This window comes from Homo sapiens, chromosome 12 (assembly GCF_000001405.40).
Source record: "Homo sapiens chromosome 12, GRCh38.p14 Primary Assembly".
Lineage (NCBI taxonomy): Eukaryota > Metazoa > Chordata > Mammalia > Primates > Hominidae > Homo > Homo sapiens.
The window spans coordinates 27,973,288-27,992,596 of NC_000012.12; the positions used below are offsets into that span (position 1 = coordinate 27,973,288).

General features: G+C 40.4%; 4 annotated features.

Moving 5' to 3' along the window:
* Positions 1,830-2,518: an enhancer, noted in NCBI's record as "H3K4me1 hESC enhancer chr12:28128050-28128738 (GRCh37/hg19 assembly coordinates)". NCBI's record gives its function as "activates a minimal SCP1, AML or CMV promoter by ChIP-STARR-seq in primed H9 embryonic stem cells {active_cell/tissue: H9 hESC(primed)}" and the evidence as "EXISTENCE:reporter gene assay evidence [ECO:0000049][PMID:30033119]".
* Positions 2,519-3,207: an enhancer, noted in NCBI's record as "H3K4me1 hESC enhancer chr12:28128739-28129427 (GRCh37/hg19 assembly coordinates)". NCBI's record gives its function as "activates a minimal SCP1, AML or CMV promoter by ChIP-STARR-seq in primed H9 embryonic stem cells {active_cell/tissue: H9 hESC(primed)}" and the evidence as "EXISTENCE:reporter gene assay evidence [ECO:0000049][PMID:30033119]".
* Positions 9,684-9,853: an enhancer, noted in NCBI's record as "experimental_27213 CRE fragment used in MPRA reporter constructs". NCBI's record gives its function as "activates a minimal promoter by MPRAs in K562 erythroleukemia cells, with activity observed for the introgressed 12:28135989 variant allele {active_cell/tissue: K562}" and the evidence as "EXISTENCE:reporter gene assay evidence [ECO:0000049][PMID:34662402]".
* Positions 11,168-11,337: an enhancer, noted in NCBI's record as "experimental_27218 CRE fragment used in MPRA reporter constructs". NCBI's record gives its function as "activates a minimal promoter by MPRAs in K562 erythroleukemia cells, with activity observed for both the introgressed and non-introgressed 12:28137473 variant alleles {active_cell/tissue: K562}" and the evidence as "EXISTENCE:reporter gene assay evidence [ECO:0000049][PMID:34662402]".

The window sequence follows — 19,309 nt, forward strand, 5'->3', positions numbered from 1 at the left end:
CCTCTTCATCCTTCTTTCTTCTTTCCTCCTTAACCCAAACAGCAAACAGATATACATTATAAACCAAATATGAATCTATAGCACTTTAAACAGTGCACCTGGGCTTGGGAATTCTCTTATTACCAATAAGCATCCAGATTTCACATTTACCAATCTGTAGCTGCAAGCTATGTCTCTAAAATCCCCTGGAACCAAACAACTAAACTCATCCCATCTCTTCTCCAAACTTTTTTCAATGTTTACAAAGAGACGTTGCATAATCAGCTCAAGTAATGCTCTCATTGGATTCCATTAGAATGTGGCTCTCATCGCTCGCCTGGACTGAGACTTGAGAGGAGGCTGTTGCCAGCTGACCTCAAGGTAGCAAAAAAGAAAAAAAGATGTAATGCCTTCAAACCCCAAGTAACAATAGGAAAGGGTGTGTTTCTTTATTAAATCTTTTTGTAGTTAGGTGAGGATAAGACTTCTCCAGGAACAGGGCGGGCTGCTAACCTCTGGAGGAACTGCCTCAGGGAGGAGTGTATAGATATGCATCAAGCTGATGGGATCCTCCCATGGGAAAAGTGGGCCTCACACCCTTCCTCACCCTTCCCTACTTCCTGGGCAATGTTCTGCTTCCCCCAAACTGAAGCAGGAGGCCCAGAGAGGAGGCGGTTTCCTGGGAGGAACCCAAACCAATGTGAGATGAGAAGGTCTTTAGGAAATGGGGGTCTCTGAGAACCGGTTCTTAAAGGTCAAGCACTTGAGCACCTCGCAAACTCCTGACAATTGAAACATATCTGAAGAGTCTTCTTCAGATATGTCTCTGTGTGTGTGTGTGTGTGTGTGTGTGTGTGTGTGTGAGAGAGAGAGAGAGAGAGAGAGAGAGAGAATATGAATGTGCAGTGTCCCAGTCCTGATCTCCTGGACTGGTGCCAGCCAGCCAGATGCCTGCCCTTGGCTGGCCAAGTTTTTGGCTCCTGAAAGTAGGCAGCTCTGGACTTGTACGAGGCCACAGAGAGAGTTCCAAGCCCCACCTGGCTCAGGCGACAACCTCTCAACCTGAAGTCAATCTCCGGTGGCATCACAGGGCCCTCCTGGCAGCAGCCCAGTTCCCCACATGAACCGAATGGTCCTTTCTTAAATTTTGAGCCGGGGGCTGCCTAAAAGGGGCTGCCCCCGCAAGCATTTTACCTCCCTAACACCATTCTCTGCCCGTGCCACGCTGGCCTCGAAGTCCCTTCCCAGGGCAGCACCCGGACTGAGATGTCTAAACTCTCCGGCAGGAAGGATACCTATCCAGACACCCGCACTGGATGTCCTGTCTGTTTGGCTTTGAGCTGGTCATTACGGTGTCTTTGGATCCTGCCTAACTTTTCTGTAATTTTTATCAGAAATAAGGCTTCAGGAGAGCAAACGTTGAGTTATGCGCTCCTTCTCTGGAGTCTCCTGCCCTGGTGTTTGCGCTCCCACTGCAGCAAGGGAGGCCTGAGTCTCTTAGGGCAGGGGTCCAGGGTCTTGGGAGAGGCCTTAGGGCAAGGGGGATGATCTTTTTCAGCCTCCCCTCCCCTCCTCCCACCCAGCGTCCTCATCCCCACCGCCTGCGATAGACTTGGGTCGCCCATTAGGAAGCTGATCCGCAGGGACGGGGCAGGCTTGGCTCCTGGGGATCTTAGGCTCCATGGGAACTTCGGGGGTCTCGGGGCCCGTGAGCGGATCTAGCTACTACTTCCCCTAGGTTCTCCTCGGGCTTCAGTCCCTAAGAGTCTGGACTCCGGACTGCCGCACAGAATCCTTCTTGCCCGGAGCGGTATTATTGAGGTCTTTGCGTTCTGCCCCGCCCTGTCCCGCCGGCTTGGGTGCTTGGTTTCTAACCCGAGTATACTCGGAGTCTCTGGTCCTGCGCGCCCCCCTCCTCCCGGGAGAGCCCCGTATCTGGCTGCGGGTAAGGGAAAACTTCGGGAACCCCGAGACCCAAGGACAGGGTCGGAGGGAGCGCGCGAACTTCCTCTGAGCAGGGCTCTTCCTCCCCTCCCCTCTCCCTCCAGGTCAATTTATGACTCAAACATGAGATAAGCCCTAGGCAGACGGTGACGCTGACTTCCCCGTGGGGGCGCGGGGAGAGAAGGATGAGGCAGACGTACCCCCTCCCTGGCCTGGCCCTGTCCGGGGCCGCGTCGGGGTGTGGAGGGGCGACTCCCTTCCTCCGGGAGCCCCGACTCGCTCTCTCCCAGCGCGCCTCCCCTGCGCCCGTAAAGCTCGGCCCTGCCGGAGCCCCGGGACCCGTCTGTTTTATTTCACTTAAAGCGATCTGCAAAGTCAAGGCCGGGTGAGGTGCGGCGCGGGAGAGGAGAGGATATGAACGGACGTGGAACGAAGTTCTGTCTGCCAACTCCCTCCGTCTGATTCTTGGAATCCGGTGGCATCTTAAAGGACGGAATTGAGGGCAAGGAGAAGATTATTAATCCCCGAAGCCCGCTCTGTCTATATATAACTGCTCAGTGGTTACAGTTGGCGATCGCAGGGTGGGGGTTGGGGGTGTAGACCGTGGGCCATGGAACACGTGGCATCTCTCCAGGGCATAAAAATCAATCTAGCTGGTGGCTCCTATGGAGTTTGTAAATTGCGCAGAGCTGGCTGGGGGAAGCCAGTGAGCTGTCCATGGTGGTTAAGGCTCGTTGATGTGCGTCCTCGGGCTGTCCTGGTGAGGCACAGACCCCCCTACCCCAGGGGCCGCAACGCCCCAGAGCCCCAGCCTGCCAGCGATCCAGCCGGTGTGCGCCCGACACGAGGCTGGACGTGTGTTTGCACAACTCCAGGACGCGCTCTTGCACAGAGGCCGAATTCCAGAGATAGACGGAAAAATCTCCCGATTCCAAATTGTGGGTTTCCTTTTAGTTCCTTCCTGAACGTGTCTTTCCCCACTCAGGCAACGTTTCACATGCTTTAAGAAACGTCCATCCATTTTAGTAGCCTCTCTCCTTTTCCTTTGCTAAGGTTCTGTTCTCTAAAGAGAGAGAAGCAAGTTGATGATCTTGTTAGGCTTCTGTTTGTTAAAAGCATCCACCAGCATTTGCACCATGTGGGATGTCCCCAACACCTGCTTTCATTGAGTGGGGAAACTGCTGCCAGGAGATTGTCCGGTATCTCAGGAAAATTGGACAGTTTCTTCTCTAGGAGTGGTGAAGCCCTTTGTAGCATATTGTTCAGTGGGGCGACTTCATTAATCACCATTGTCCTGAGCAGTGTGTCTGATCGCCACTCCTAGCAAAGGAGAAAACAAATGCTATGGGAGTTTCCTTGTAGGTACAGTTTTGCCCAGTTCTTGTGACATATTCTTATGAAAAAACATTTACAAAGGTAAGCTTCTATACATGTTTAAGGCAATTAAATTATCTCCACATTTTACTTTTTTGTCTCTTAATTTATCCTGGCAATTTTCTCCTTACTTAACTTGGATAGAGATCTCATCTTCAACTGAATAACGAATTACCTCAAATACTACAAAAGACTGCAAAATATTATAAACATTTATAACTCATTTGTATTACACACCTTTATTTATGGGAATATATTTAATAAACATCCAACACATAAGAGAATCTTTTACTTATTTCTGTACAAGATATCAGATTGCTGCTTTTACCCTTCCTTCTAATTGTGGTGTGGCAAATTAACAAAAGGGTGTGTGTGGGCGTACTTATAAATAACTTTTAGAATATTTGACATTCAATAGAAAATATTAGGATTCAATAATTTTTAATAGCTTTTTTCCTCTCTCAGCTTCTGGGTCTAAGTATAAACATTGTCCGTGGGGAAAATGAAATATTTCTATAAATTCTTCTAAATGTTTTCCCAAGTCAATAAAATCGATATAATGTATTTTACTTTCCTTCTCTCTATTTACAAAAATTAAGGAAATAAGATTTGAATGTGTACCCAGGTTTTGAAAAGCAAGAAATAAACCATCATCGTAATATTGTATTATTATTTTGAAATGTGGGAGTTTAGTTTTGTTCCGTGACTCTTTGGTAGCTGGCCTTCTGTGCATCTCTTAGACCTCCTTTCTATGAAAGAAAAGAATATATAGTAATATAAATAGATTTCATTCTCTTATACTTTATCTGCTTGTACAACTTAGGGTGCTTTTTTGTTTTGTTTTTACCCTCTCTGTGGCTTCACATTTTCCTGTCTCCCATAGTGATACTGATTGAGAGTTTTCCCTTTAAAGTTCAATCTAATTTTCTTCAGTTTCCTTATTGTTTTTTAAAAGAAAGTTTTCTCCAACAGCTTCTTATTAGATTTTAAAGATCTCATTATTTGATCAATTAAATTCATCACATTTGTTAGGGAGAAAGCATTCTACCAGTTGTTCTGTTGAAGATGCTAGACCTTTTCCCCCCTTGCTTTTAAAAGGAAAGCATTCAACTGGTGGAACTGATCATGAGCTAAAACCCAAACAAACAAATAAGCACCTCATGAGTCTCTTGTTTGTGTTGTGATCACTTTCCCCATGTGCCCAACACTGCTGTGAGCCCAGAGCAGGTCCTCCAAAGAGATCTGTGGAATCAAATTGAATTGCAGTTCTCCTCACTTTTGAGAGATGAAAGTATATTTTTAATTATTTTAGACGTCTTTTCCAAAATCCATATACAAAGCTTTTTGATCTGTTGCTGGAAAACTTTGCTAGAGCATATTAAAAAAAAAAAAAGCCATGGTAGATTTGGGGGGCATCCCGGGTCCCTTTCAGCCTCAAAAACATCTCCATGTGCTGAATGCATGGTATTATAAGCTTTCCTGAAGCTATTTCTCTCCTCACTTCATTTGTGCTTCTCTTCCCAGGGACAGGTAAATAAGGGGGCGTGGGGAATGAACGTGGACTCTTGCTGCATCATGATATATTGAGATCAATTATTATGTGGGAGTACTTTATGCTTAAAAAAATTTCAACTGACCTTAGCACAATTCTGTTGCACTTTGCTCTTTTACTTTCCATCCTGCTAAGCTGTTAATTACACAGAGAATTGCCAAGGTGCTTCTAATGGTTAAAAAAAGGAAGCCGCTTTTTGTGGAAAGGATAAAAAAAGGTTTTTGTCCTGTAAACACAGGTCACATTCTTTGTAAAGCTGTTCTTAATAGGCAAAAAAGTACATGTCTGTAACAGTTAAATTACTCTTTAAAAGACCTATGATGGCCTTAAATGGAGCAGGAGCTCCAGTGTGGTTGATATGGTTCCAAAAAACCCACGTCTTAAAAAAAGTTTCATTGTCGAGGTGCACCAGGGTGTACTTTCAGATCTATAATACACAGTCTGGCCATCACAACCGCATTATTTCCCTCATCTCATTCCAACCCTGGTGTGGTAAAACCAAAGAGACACAGGATCAAGGAAAGTTTGAGGATATGCAGGGAAAGGGCTGTGTAAGTATAGTGAGTACAGATTTTTAAGATCTTCCCCAGACTTCTAAACAGTTGAGAAGGTAGCTTGTTTGCTAAGTAGTGCAAAGTGTCTCCAGGTCTATCGCTGGAACTGCTGACATAATTAATGATTTCATTCGGAGCCTGAAAGAAGGTACTTGTATTCCCTCTGGCATGGGCAGGCCAAGTTCATGTCCAAACTCTAATACTTTGGGTTGATTTTAGCTAACAAGACTGTTGGTCCTCTTGTTGCACACCCAGAACATGAAAGCCAAATATTATATTAGGCCTTGATACTTCCCAGCCTTGAGGAGGTTGACACATCCTAAATATATAAACAGCCACTATTATCTAAAGATGGATTATGTTTGGCTGGGAGAGTCATTACTCCTAGGTCAAACTGAGAAAACTAAAAACCATAGAACACCCTACCTCACCAAACACATAGCAAACTACTTAAAAATCATTATTTTCCACTCAAACCTTACATGCAAAAATTTTCTTGTCCCATCTCATACTATGAGGTTAATGGCAATCCTTGAAAATTAATTATGTACTGAAAAGACTTCAATAATATTTCTGCTAAAAATAAACTGGAGGCAGATTAGTGCCCTGGATTCATGATTGCTTACATCTGGTTTCTATTTCTGTGAGTTTCATTTGGTTCTCAGAGAGTTCATTCACAGTCATCACAAGTCCAGTTTCCTGTTCTCCAATGGGAGAGCTTGTCTTGATGACCCATATATTTTTTCATATGAATGCTGCTTTTTTTTTTTTTTTTTTTTTTTTTACATTAGGAGATATGGAAAGGGAGAATGAAAAATACATCAGGTCTAATCCAGCCAAACTAAAACCTGAACAACATTTTTCAGCACCTGGCTTATCCAGAATCCAATGGCAAATAACAATGAAGAAATCACTCCATGTTAGACCCTTATAAAATGAGGTAGGAAAGAAAAGAGAAAATAGAAGAAAGGAGAGGAAGGGAAGATGGAAGGAAGGGAGGGTAGGGGAAGAATGGAAAAAGGAATGATTTAAAGGAAGGGCTTCTTGCTGAGAAGAATGCCCATACTTGTCCCATCATATTTCCCATTACCCGTAAGACATGGGCAAGTGTTTTTCTTTCTTACCATGTTAACATTAAGACTTTTCTCAAAAAAGAAATCGAGTTGTACTGGCTGCTCATTGAACACAATCTCTTGAATTTCTTCAAACACTTAGGGTTGAAGAGGCAGAATGTCATACAAGCCTTACTTAGTTCCTGCTGATCTGGCTTACGTAGACCAGCATGACTCTAGCTTATAAGCCATCCTGTGTAACATCATTTTTCACCATCTAGAACTTCTCAATTGTTCTCCTCTGTGTAAGTAACACCTTACCCCCTTTTTGAGATGATGATTCTATCTAAAGATCCTGTCTAGATGATACTTCAAATCTCATGTAGCCTGTTTTTCACCCCATCATATGATTTTCCTACATTTTCTTCCTGCTGATAGCTCAAAAACCAAGCCTCCAAAATATCCCAGATGTTATCTACATTCAACAGCAATAATTCCAAATATTATTGAGCTCATGTACCTGGCACTCTGATGACTTGAAAATAGTATTATTTCATTTACAACATATTGCTGCCTTGATTTTTTCTAACTAGGTTAAATAATTACTAGAACTGAGACTGGGATTCAGTTTTGCCTGACACTACATTGCCTCTTTAGTATGATGCACATCCATGGATTGTTAGCCTTGATTTGGCTGATGTGACCGGCTAGGCAACTGGTATCTTCTCTCACCCACCTGTGTGGATTCCTGAAAGCTGTGCACTCAGATGAAGAAATTGATAAGAGCCATTATTTCATCAAGGGTTATTGAGATGCTGAACTCCTCTGGTGGGAAGCACACCATAGGATGCTTTAACTCTACAAAGCAAAAAAAAAAGAACATCCTCTCTTCTGCTAATTACACGGTCTTACTACCATGCTATAGAAATAATCTAAGGATCAACTTTATCTGAGGGTGTTATGTCAACATTTATTGACAGTCTACTTTATATTAAGTTCTATTCTTGGAACTTTAAAGAAAGCCACACGCATTGGACTATTATTACTCTAGTGCCCATAGAAGTACTTTATTGGGTCAGGTTTTTTTTTCCTTTTCTTCTAAAATCACATTTGGACCTGCCCATCTCAGCAATAGCATACTTTTTAAAAGGTCATGTGAAAATATGTACATATCCTTTGATAAACTGCTATCAAATAAACTTTCACTTAAGCTATTGATTACCTACTATGTTCAAGCCCTCTATTAAAATACAAAAGAAAAGCCATATGCCAGGACTATATTTCTTCTTTTATTGCTTGGGCCACATTCTTTACCTTTTATTTGTAAATTACTTCAAACCTGTTTTAAAAGTAAGCAAGTACAAAAAGAAAACGTGGCATGGAATTGAGATACACAGTCAGGGCTATTTACAGAGCCCATAAACTGTGTTCATTAGTTCATTCAGTCACTCAACAAATTTTTTTTGAAATATTTGAATGCATATGAGCCCAGCACTGTATTAGGTTCTGGGATTACACTGATATAAAATTTGCAGTCTATTCAGAACTGCAAATTTTTAAATTCTTGTTTATTAAATATTTGACAATTTTTTAAATTAGAAATCTTTGAATTTTGTCATACTAAGTATTTCACTTGGTTTATTGTCTGTCTCTTCCCATTGGAATAAACGCTAATTTTGTGAGGGTTAAGATTTTTGTCTGTTTATCTCTAGCACTTAGAACAATACTTGGCACATGGTAGGAAATCAAAAAATATTTCAAAGAATAAAAGAATGAATGAAGGTTGAAAGGCGCAAATACTTTTCCTCTACATACGTATATTGGCACACTAACAAATATACATATTTCTTTGATAAGACAGATTTCTCCCCTGAGTTGGCAATTTTCTTAATGATCACTACATACTTTTTATATCAATAAACTAAAGGATTACTGGTATATGAAACTAATGTCAGGTTAAACATGATTACCTTTTGAAAATCCTATGTGATAAGTTAGACTTGCCCAGAAATAAATTGTTTTTAGCCACAATAATATTTTTATTATAAAGGCAAGCCTTATTTTCATTCCTATATTCATTTATTTTACCTCCCAAACTATAACACAATTAAAATAGTCTCTAAGATCTGATCATGTAGCCAAAGTGGATAATGTTATTTTACCACACCCAAGTAAAGATTCCTGCTAGTAGGAAAGACTGGTTATTGTCCTTTAGATGGTATCATCATAGCTGAATCATGAATCAACGAAAGCTTTTGTATGTTGAACTTGTATTTTTTTCCTACACTAAGTTAAATACATTTTCTTGTCATGGCAGATGAGTTGGACAGAATAGTGTCTGTCATACCTGAGTCAGTTCCCCACTCCTTTCCCTGACTGCCACATTCAACTCTATAATAAAGCCTAGGAATGCATTTTCAGTAATTTTTTAAAACCACATTTTCCCCTCAGATGACCTATGATAGCTGTGATTAAGCACTACATTTTCCTTACAATCACTCTGAACAATTCCCTTTCAGTTCACCATGGCGTTATGAGCTTGATATATTTGCTATGTTGGTTCAGAAGAATGCAGAATTGTGTTAAAAACCAAAAAAATCAGATTTACAAACCCCATCTCTTATAATTCTACATATTAAATTTTCAGTGGGGTTTCAGACCTCTGTGAATGTGTGAGACCTTATTATTGAGTTTTTTCCTATCCCATCAAGAAGGGCTAGTTACATACCCCAGTAGATAAAACCTCAAATGCAAGCAACATTGCATTGTTTGTTAGAAACACATCATTGGATAGGACTTGGAAATCATAGTTGCTGTCTTGTTCTTGGCAGGAAGACTGTTTGAATGGAGCCTAACTCAGGCTCTAATAGAAGTTGCTGGAAGAATAAAAGTGGGCAACGTTTCTGGCAGAATGCCAAGGGTAGTGGAAACTACTTTCATCTTATAAACTGGAGATAATAGAGCAGAATGACCTTAAGGGGTGCTTTTAAAAGGGACATCAGACCACCCTATGCTTAACGAGGTATCACACTTTTGATTTAGAGGATGATTCAAATAATTAGGGCTTCAGTGCATGTATAAATAATGAAAATCAGGGGAAAATTGAGTGCTTTAACAACTTCAGGAGACTATTCCTTGTTGTCACTCAGCCAACCATCAGCACATTGTACATTCCAAGTCCCCTTGGGAATATTGCCCATTCATTAGATTCTTCCAGTTGCTCCTCAAAGAAACGTTATCATTATGTTCTACTGAACCAAAGAAAAACAGATTGTAAGGCAAAGCCACAGGCTTTATATCAAGAAGAAACACCTGAATTGCAACCTGTTGGCTTCCAATTTTCGCTGAGTTTGTTTAGGAACTGAGGACTATATTTATCTTTTGTCTTGAATATATATTGGCAATGTGGGCTGTGGAAAGAGTGAGTCAAGAAGCTAGATTTTAGTTTTGGCTCTTCCTTTTACCAGCTGGTTTTATAAACTCAGAAAAGGCACAAAACGTCTTAGAGTCTGACTTTATTCACATTTAAGATGGGAATAGCATTAGTGTACACTCCATCGGGCTGTCATAAGAATCAAATGAAGTAATACAGGTAAAGTTGCTTTATAAGCTAGAAAGCCCTATTGAAATATTTAGTTCAGTGCATATATTATATTTAACCATTATTCTAGGTAGAAATACATAGATCTTGATTTAAATTGCTCCCTTCTCAAACACTTTTACGCTGCTGTTGGAAATGTAAATTAGTACAACCACTTTGAAAAATAGTAGAGAGATGCCTTAAAGAACTAAAAGTAGATGTACCATTCGATCCAGCAATCCCACTACTGGGTATCTACCCAGATGAAAAGAAATCATTGTATGAAAAAGACACATGCACACACAGTTTTGTAGCAGCATTATTCTCAGTTGCAAAGATATGAAATTAACCTAAGTGCCCATTGACCAACAAGTGGATAAAGAAAATGAGGTATATGTAAAACATGGAATACTACTCAGCCATAAAAAGAGATGAAATCATGTCTTTTGCAGCAACTTGGATGGAGCTGGAGGCCATTATTCTAAGTGAAGTAACTCAGGAATGAAAAACCAAATATCGTATGTTTTCACTTATAAGTGGGAGCTAAGCTATGAGGACGTAAAGGCATAGAATGACATAATGGACTTTGGGGACTTGGGGGGAAAGGATGGAAGATGGGTGAGGGATAAAAGACTACATATGAGGTACAGCGTACACTTCTTGGGTGATGGATGCACTCAAATCTGAGAAATCATCACTAAAGAACATATCGATGTAACAAAAAACCACCTGTACCCCCAAAACTATTGAAATTAAAAAAATTACTTCTCAGACATTCAGATTAGCATTTTGTAACACATTGGGACAATTAGACAATGAAAATGACCTTAAGACTGAAGATTTTTGTCTGGCTTTTTACTCTCTCAATATTTTCCTTCTTTTACCTGAAAAATGTTAGTATTGTATAAATCAGTTCAGGAAATACCATCTTACCTGATTCCCAGCATGAATACCATATTGAATATCTTTTAATAAAGGGTAGCGAATTGATTTGTAACAGGGTTTTGAAAATAGCTGCTATTATCTAAGCATCTTTGTTTGGACAGCAATTTCAGCTGTGGCTATTACAATCCCTGTGGCATCCCATGAGTCAGCAATGTTCAGTTTTGGGGAGAGTCAGTTTGACCCTTTGGGTAACCATGGTATCTAAGGACTTCTCAGACATAACAAACTTCGAGGCTGGGGTCAGAATAGAGAGATAAGAATTAACAGTGGAGGAATCAGAACCAAAGGGCATGAGTCAGGATAGTCAGCAAATACACTGTGTCATAGGAAAGGGGGAAAAAACCCAAAGCTCTTAACTGGGGAGATTAAATAAGGCAACAGGATAGCAGAAAGAAAGAGGAGAAATATCAAATCATATAGAGACTTTCATTTAAAGTTACTATTTGTATGTACATCTGTCTGAACATATTGAAGTTTTGATATACCCTACCAAAGGATTTTTCAGCCTACTAATTCTTAGAAATGAGGTCCCATCTAGGTGGGAGAAGCTGAAAGGACATGGATTGGTAAGATCTGATCAAGGTCTGAATTTTTCCAAATAATGCTTGTCTGCCTTAGGGACTGTAATTTTTTTCCCACTGCAGCCAACTCCATGGCTATAAACAGCAGAAATTCCATCCTGAAAGTTTCTGTATCTGGGTGATATTTGGAATTGGAATTGTGGAGAGGAGAGTATCTTAAAGTCCAAGGATCTTTGCTAATGCACACAGGCCTACCTAGCTTGGAGCCTTAATTCTCACTGTCATGAAGATTTATGTTAGGCCTGGAAAGAATTAATGAGATTAATAATTCAGCTTATCATTTATTTACTGAACTGAATTCTATAGGCTATATAAATATGAAAAAGACACTGTCTTTTCTTTCCCTTGAAGGGTTTACAGACTTGTGTGTGTGGGAATTAGGCTTATATAAAATAATGACGGCCTCCTTTTTTACTCCTCAGAGTAAAATCAAATATTTATGGGAGGAGTAAATTGAATACAAAATGCAATCATATGCAGTGTTATTTCTCCAGTAAGAAAGAAAAGATAAGTAAAACCTTCAGCTCCTTTTAATGGCACCGGGCTTCCAACAGAGAAGCAAATAGCCCAATGTGCCACAGCGCAGTAATACTTATTCCTAAAGAGGGGGCATAGCTCTGTTAATATGAGTATTCTTTTATCAATAATGATTAGAATGGACCATCCCTAAGAGAAGTTCATATTTTAGAGAGATTACCTACTTAGCAGATACCGTTGGTTACCTCACATCTTTTCTGGCACATCTTTCTTCCTTCCTAATAGGACCCTGATTTTGCTCAGGCATTCCCCACTTCTCCATGTGATGATATTCTTTGGGGTGGGCAGGCCCCAGCTCCAACTTTCAGCCCTGGCAATTCCAGAGTCCTGGCTGGTTTAAACCGATTATGGTGGTCCTAACCCCTTACCAGTGATTTGTTAAGCATAGGTATGTGATCTAACTCTGTTCAATACAATCTTGGCTGGAGAAGTGCTGAGGGATTCTGGGAAGAGTTTCTTTGCTCCTCAGAGAAACATAGAGCGTCCGCTCTTCCTCCTGTAGACACTGTTGTACCAGATATGACGCCTGGATTTGTGGCAGCCATCTTGCTCTCTGCCTGAGTACGAAGCTAACATTCAGAGGAAGGATGAGCCTGGAGGATCTTAGAGAAGCAGAGTTTTGACTTCATTTATGTGATGCCTGGTGATTGACTTACCTATGAAATTTTGTCATGAGAGATAATAAATGTTATAAATATTAAGCCACTTTGAGTTGAGTTTTGTTATTTGTAGCTAAGACATTTCTAACAGGTGGTTACCTAGTGAGGGAACTGGAGACTCCATAGCTGTCACTGGTGTTCTGTATTTGGAGTTTAGTTGAAGAACCCACCTTCACCCTTGCTCATACCTGAAGCCCATCTTTCACCCAGAGGCCATGAAATTGAGCAGAGGTAAATGTCAAAGGTGACCTAATTGAAGTCTAGGATACGCCTTGAGTTGGAGAATTCTAACTATCACACTTTATCCAAATATCACACTTTATCCCATGGAACTAGTGATGTTTTTCTGGAGAAAGACTTGGAGTTGGTTGGTCTGGGAGGCTTGAGAAGGTTGATGTATGCAGAAATCTGCATTTTAAAATGCCTTCCCTACTGTGACACAGTGAAAGTCCAAATTAGTCAAAATTATGTTTTTTAATCCTCCTCTCTGATAATGCTTGTTGCAATGCCTGAGTAAAGTACTTTGAATATGTATTATAGTCTTGTGTGTTAGGCCGGTAAAAACTGTAAGACAGTGGGCTAGGAGTTGAGGTTTTTCCTCAATTTCATAGTCTTTAAGGCACTACTAACTGCTTTTTTCATTGGATAGACTATGCCATATCATAGCAATGAAAGTGACCCACAAACTTGGAGTCACCAGGGAAGACAGAGCATATTTCATTTTTTTTCTAGGACACCGTTTTTCCCCCCCTAACCTATTAACCTCTCTAAAATTACGCCGCACCTCACAATTGCTGTTGGCCAAGTGGCAGTCACAAGGGAGTTGTAATTGCCTATTCACATGCACCAAAACTCATAGAATTGGCTCTAGTGGCTTGGAAGAAACTCCTAAAGATTATAGTGGAGCACTCTTAAGAAATGCTATATCACTAACTGCCTCGGCCCAACGGATGATATTGCATATGTAAACATGGACACGATTGATTCTGAGTCTGAAGGTCATTCAGAAAAGCCAGACTCCGAATGTGAATAACTTAACCAATACATTTTATGATGAAAACTTATGTCTATATGTTTAACAGAGTTTTCCCATGAGTAAAAACATAAAAATTTCAAGTTATAAGAACATACTGGGTCAAGTGTGGTTGCTCATGCCTGTAATCTCAGCACTTTGGGAGGCCGAGGCAGGATTGCTTGAGCCTAGTAGTTTGAGACCAGCCTAGGCAGCACAGCAGGACTCCATCTCTACAAAAAAAAATTTAAAATTAGCCTAGTTTGGTGGCACGTGCTTGTAGTCCCCGCGGCTCAAGAAGCTGAGGTGAGAGGATCCCTTGAGCCCAAGAGGTCGAGGCTACAATGAGCTATGATTGTGTCACTGCACTCCAGCCTGGGTGTCAGAGCAAGACTTTGTCTCAAACAAAAAAAAAAAACCAACCAAACAAAAAAAAATCCACATTGCATCATAGCTCCATTGGCATCATTACAAAATTATTTTAGCGGTATGTGAAATAATGCTGCATCTATAGTTGATAACATCTTAGATTCAATGAAAGATGGTGACTAGAAGCTCAGACCCCATTGTCAAGCAAAAACCAGATGCTTCCTTTTTTTTTTTTTGTGAGATGGAGTTTCACTCTTTTTGGCCAGGCTGGAGTGCAATGGCGCAATATTGGCTCACTGCAACTTCCACCTCCTGGGTTCAAGCAATTCTCCTGCCTCAGCCTCCCGAGTAGCTGTGATTATACGTGCCTGCCACCAAGCCTGGCTAATTTTTTGTATTTTTAGTAGAGATGGGGTTTCACCATGTTAGCCAAGCTGGTCTTGAACTCCTGACCTTACAAGCGATCCACCCGCCTTGGCCTCCCAGAGTGCTGGGATTACAGGCGTGAGCCACCATGCCTGACAACCAAATGCTTCTTATGCCATCCTTGCCAGGAGATTCTTTCCTCTGAGCATAGTCAACTCTCCGTCGCTCTTTTTTGAATCAGTATCTCAAGTGGCTACTCCTGATTGACTAGATTCAGTCACATGACAGCTTCCTAGCTGTGAAGGAATCTGAGGATATGATTTGTAATTTCTGTGGTGGGGAGATGAGATTCATGACATGAGACTATCTCAAATTGTAGAAAGGTAGGCACACTTGAATAAAGAAATAACATATGACATGGGCTTCAAAGGTTAGGTGCCATTTTTAACTAGTAGAGATGAGTAGGGAAAATATTTTTTGTGGAAAAATTGGCATGAAGTCAGAAAAACATTGCCTATGTTTGAGGATAAGAAAGGAGTGTGACACACTAATGGGAATTGTAGGAAAGGTCTGCTGGAGCCAGACGGTGGCAGGGTTTCAGGCTTAGGAATTTCTGTATTCCAAGGGCCATATGGAACCATTAGGCGTGGGGAGTGGAAGATTCTGTGGTTGCTTTAGTCTCAGATAATCCATGGACTCCAGCATACCAAGGACTGGATTGGTTCAATGATACTCTTGGGAACTTAGAAGGGATCTGCCTTTAAACTGAGATTTTCTTTGTAAATATATTTTCTAAGGTTCTAAAAAATATATACTTAATTAGATACCTCAGCTCCTTTTTAATGAAATGCTCACACTGTGTGATTATTTTCTAAAACAGTCATTGTAGGATTTGGTATGGATGTGGACTGTATCCTTCATGCATTTCCTGACCCTTTCTTCTACCCTCTAGCAAGAGAATTTGAGGTGGTTTGAGGTTTGGAAGAAAGGTTGGAAGGCACATGCTCGAGCATGCCAGTCTTCACTAATTGAGCGAGTGTTGACATAACAATTTCTTCCTTTTCTCTTTGTTCTTTTCTCCTCTTGGCCTTCAAACCATAATTCTTATTTTATAAGTGTAAAATCTGTTAAGTGAAGTTCCACTGTGATGGGAAATGGATATAGGCAAAGGGTTATATCTAAACTTGAAAGAGCTAAATCCAGTCACTTCAATAAGGCAGAAGAGCTGGCTCATATACTCATTACCAGCTTAGCTCTCTACAAAGGCTGTGCTGGGAGAAGGAGTGAATCACAAGGTTTTTGTTATCAATAAATCAAGTGGTTGATGCTGCTATAGCTTTGTGATTTTTTTTCTGTTAGTACTTTCAAAAAACAAGCCACTGTACATAAAATGTATTATGTACATTTTATTCTTTTTAAAGTATACTGTTGATAGCAGCCACTAACTCTGAGCCTATGATATAAAAAGCTGATGCGATTAGCAGTCTCTATGCCATACACAGTGTCTTTTTGTTCTTTAGTGTTGCTGCTACTTGCAATGGCTGTTGTTATTTGTAAATTGCATCTTAGCTTTACGATCTACCTGATTGTTTTGCTTCCAGAATCACTTATTGCATCAGTTAGCTTTCGCAGTAGACAAAGCATCCAAAAAATAAGGGCTTAATACTACAACCACTTATAATTGCTCATGAACTACAAGTCAGTTTGGTGCCTCTGCTGATCTAAGCAGACGCACAAGTAGCTAGGCTCACTCATGTGCCTGTGGTCAGCTGGTGACTTAGCTGTGGACTCTGTGTGAATGAGGATGTGTCTGGTGGTTGTCTCACTGTTTGCTGGGAAGATGGAGGTGACTGGGCCACATGTCTCTCACCATCCAACAGTTTGAAAGCTATCAGGTCTGTTAAGGCCCCGGTGCAGAACTCTCATGCTGTAACTTCCTCTACATTCTGTTGGTCTCCATAAGTCATATGACCAGCCCAGATTCAAGAGGTAAGGAAATAGACTCCACCTCTTGATGGAGGAGCTGAAAAGTATTTTGGCTGTTTTCTCAATCACAATCACTTTCTCTCAAGGTAGAGTGACTGACTGGTATGCCTTCCCCTATAGTTTCCCAGTTGCAAAAATCTATGCTATGCAAAGTTGTTTCCCCTTGATTCACTTTGTTTATGATGGATTCTCTCTGGTTATAGATTGAAAATTTTGCTCTCTTTCTTTCTCCTTAAACATTCAGTAACCCAGCTACTGTGGGTAGTGAAAAGAGCACTAAAGTTTTGGTTTTATTTTGATGTGTAAAGAGGCACTGAGAGAGTTCAAATTTCATCAACTGCAAATTGAGAGGAAAAAATCTTTTAATTCAAAATCTTTTCATGATAAAAATTTTTGGTTGGGCACAGTGTCTCATGCCTGTAATTCCAGCATTTTGGGAGGCTGAGGCGGGCAGATCACTTGAGGTCAGAAGTTCAAGACCAGCCTGGCCAACATGGTGAAACCCTGTTTCTACTAAAAATAATAAAAAAAAATTAGCCAGGTGTGGTGGTGCGTGCCTGTAATCCCAGCTACTCAGGAGGTTGAGGCAGGAGAATTGCTTGAACCTAGGAGGCAGAGGCTGCAGTGAGCCAAGATCGCTCCACTGAACTCCAGCCTGGGTGACAGGGCGAGATGATGTCTAAAAAAAAAAAAACCCTTTTTCAACAAACTAAGTATAGAAGAAATTTATCTCAACATAATAAAGGCCATACGTGAAAACTCACAGCTAGCATTATACTGAAGGATGAAAAACTGAAAGCTTTTCCTCTAAGATCAGGAACTAGGCAAGGATGCCTACTCTTGCAACTCCTATTCAACATGCAACTGGAACCCCCAGCCAGAGCAATTAGGCAGGAAAAATAAATGAAAGGCATCCAAATCAGAACAAAAGCTGTAAAATTATATGTTTGCAGAGGACATGATCTTACATATAGAAAAAGACTCCACAAAACAACCCTTTTAGAACTAATAAACACATTTAGCAAAGCTTCAAGATACAAAACCAATATACAAAAATCAGTGGTGTTTCTATACACTGACAACAAACTGAAAAGAAAATTTTTAAAAATCCCATTTGCAATAGCATCAAAAATAGTAAAATATTTAGCAATAAACTTAACTAAGGAGGTTAAAAACCTGTACACTGAGCTAGAAGATACTGATGAGAGAAATTAAACACAAATAAGTGGAAAGACATCTCATGTACATGAATTGGAAGGCTTAATGTCGTTAAAATGTTCATACCCAAAGTGATCTACAGATTTAATACAGTCCCTATCAAAATCCCAATGGTACCTTTTTACAGAAATAGAAAAACAACCCTAAATTTCATATAAAACCACAAAAGATCCTGAGTAGCCAAAGCAATCTTAAGAAAGGAGAACAAAGCTGGAGGCATCACAATTCCTGATTGTAAAACATATCACAAAGCTATGGTAATTAAAACATTATGGTACCAGCATAAAGAAAGATATGTATACCAATCAAACAGATTAGGGAGCTCAGAAATAAACCCATGCATACACAGTCAACTGATCTTTGACAAGGGTTCCAAGAATACATGATGCGGAAAGGGTAGTATCTTCAATAAATGTTGTTGGGAAAACTTGATATCCATGTGCAAAAGAATGAAATTGGTCCCTTACACAATACACAAAAAACACCATATACAAAAATCAACTAAAATGGAATTAAATATTAAAGTGTGAGACCTAAAACTACTGAATAACTCCTAGAAGAAAATGTAGGAGAAAAGCTTCATGACATTGGGCTCAGCAATATTTCTTTGGTATGACACCAAAAAACACAAGCAACAAAAGCAAAAACAGACAAATGGCACTGTATCAAACTAAAAATCATCTGCATTGCAAAGGAAACAATCAAAAGAGTGAAAAGGCAACCTACAGAATGGGAGAAAAATATTTTCAAACTATACATCTGATAAGGGGTTAATATCCCTAACATATAAGGACCTCCTACAATTCAATAGCAAACCACAAATAACCCCGTGTTAATAATGGGCAGTGGATTTGAACAGACATTTCTCCGCAGAAGACAAACAAGTGGCCAAGAAACATATGTCAGGGCACTCAGCGGCACTCATCATCAGGTAAATGCAAACCAAAACCAGTGAGATATCACCTCACACCTGTTAGGATAGCTATTATAAAAATAAAAAAGATAACAAATGTTGGTGAAGACATGGAGAAATTGGAACTCTTGTGCAATATTGATGGGAATGTAAAATGGGTTCAGCCTCAATGGAAAACTGTATATAGTTTCCTCAAAAAAATTATAAATAGGACTACCATGTGATCCAGGAATTCCATTTCTGGGTATACATGCAAAATAATTATAATAAGGATCTCTTTATTTTTAATTTTTTTTTTTTGAGATGGGATTTCACTCTGTCACCCAGGCTGTGTAGTGCAGTGGCACAATCAGAGCTCACTGAAGCCTTGAACTCCTGGGTTCAAGGGATCCTCTTGCTTCAGACTCCTGAGTAACTGGGGACACAGGCACTCACCACCACACCCAGCTAACTTTTAAAACTGTTTTTGTGGAGATGAGGTCTCATTATGTTTCCCGGGCTGAATTGAACTCCTGGGCTCAAGCAATCCTCTCCCCTTGGCCTCCCAAAGTGCTGGGATTACAGGCGTGAGACACTATGTTCAGCTGAAATCAGGATCTCAAAGAGATATCTGCACCCCCATGTTCATTGCAGCGTTATTCACAATAGCCAAGATGTGGAAACAACCTAAATGTCCACTGATGGATGA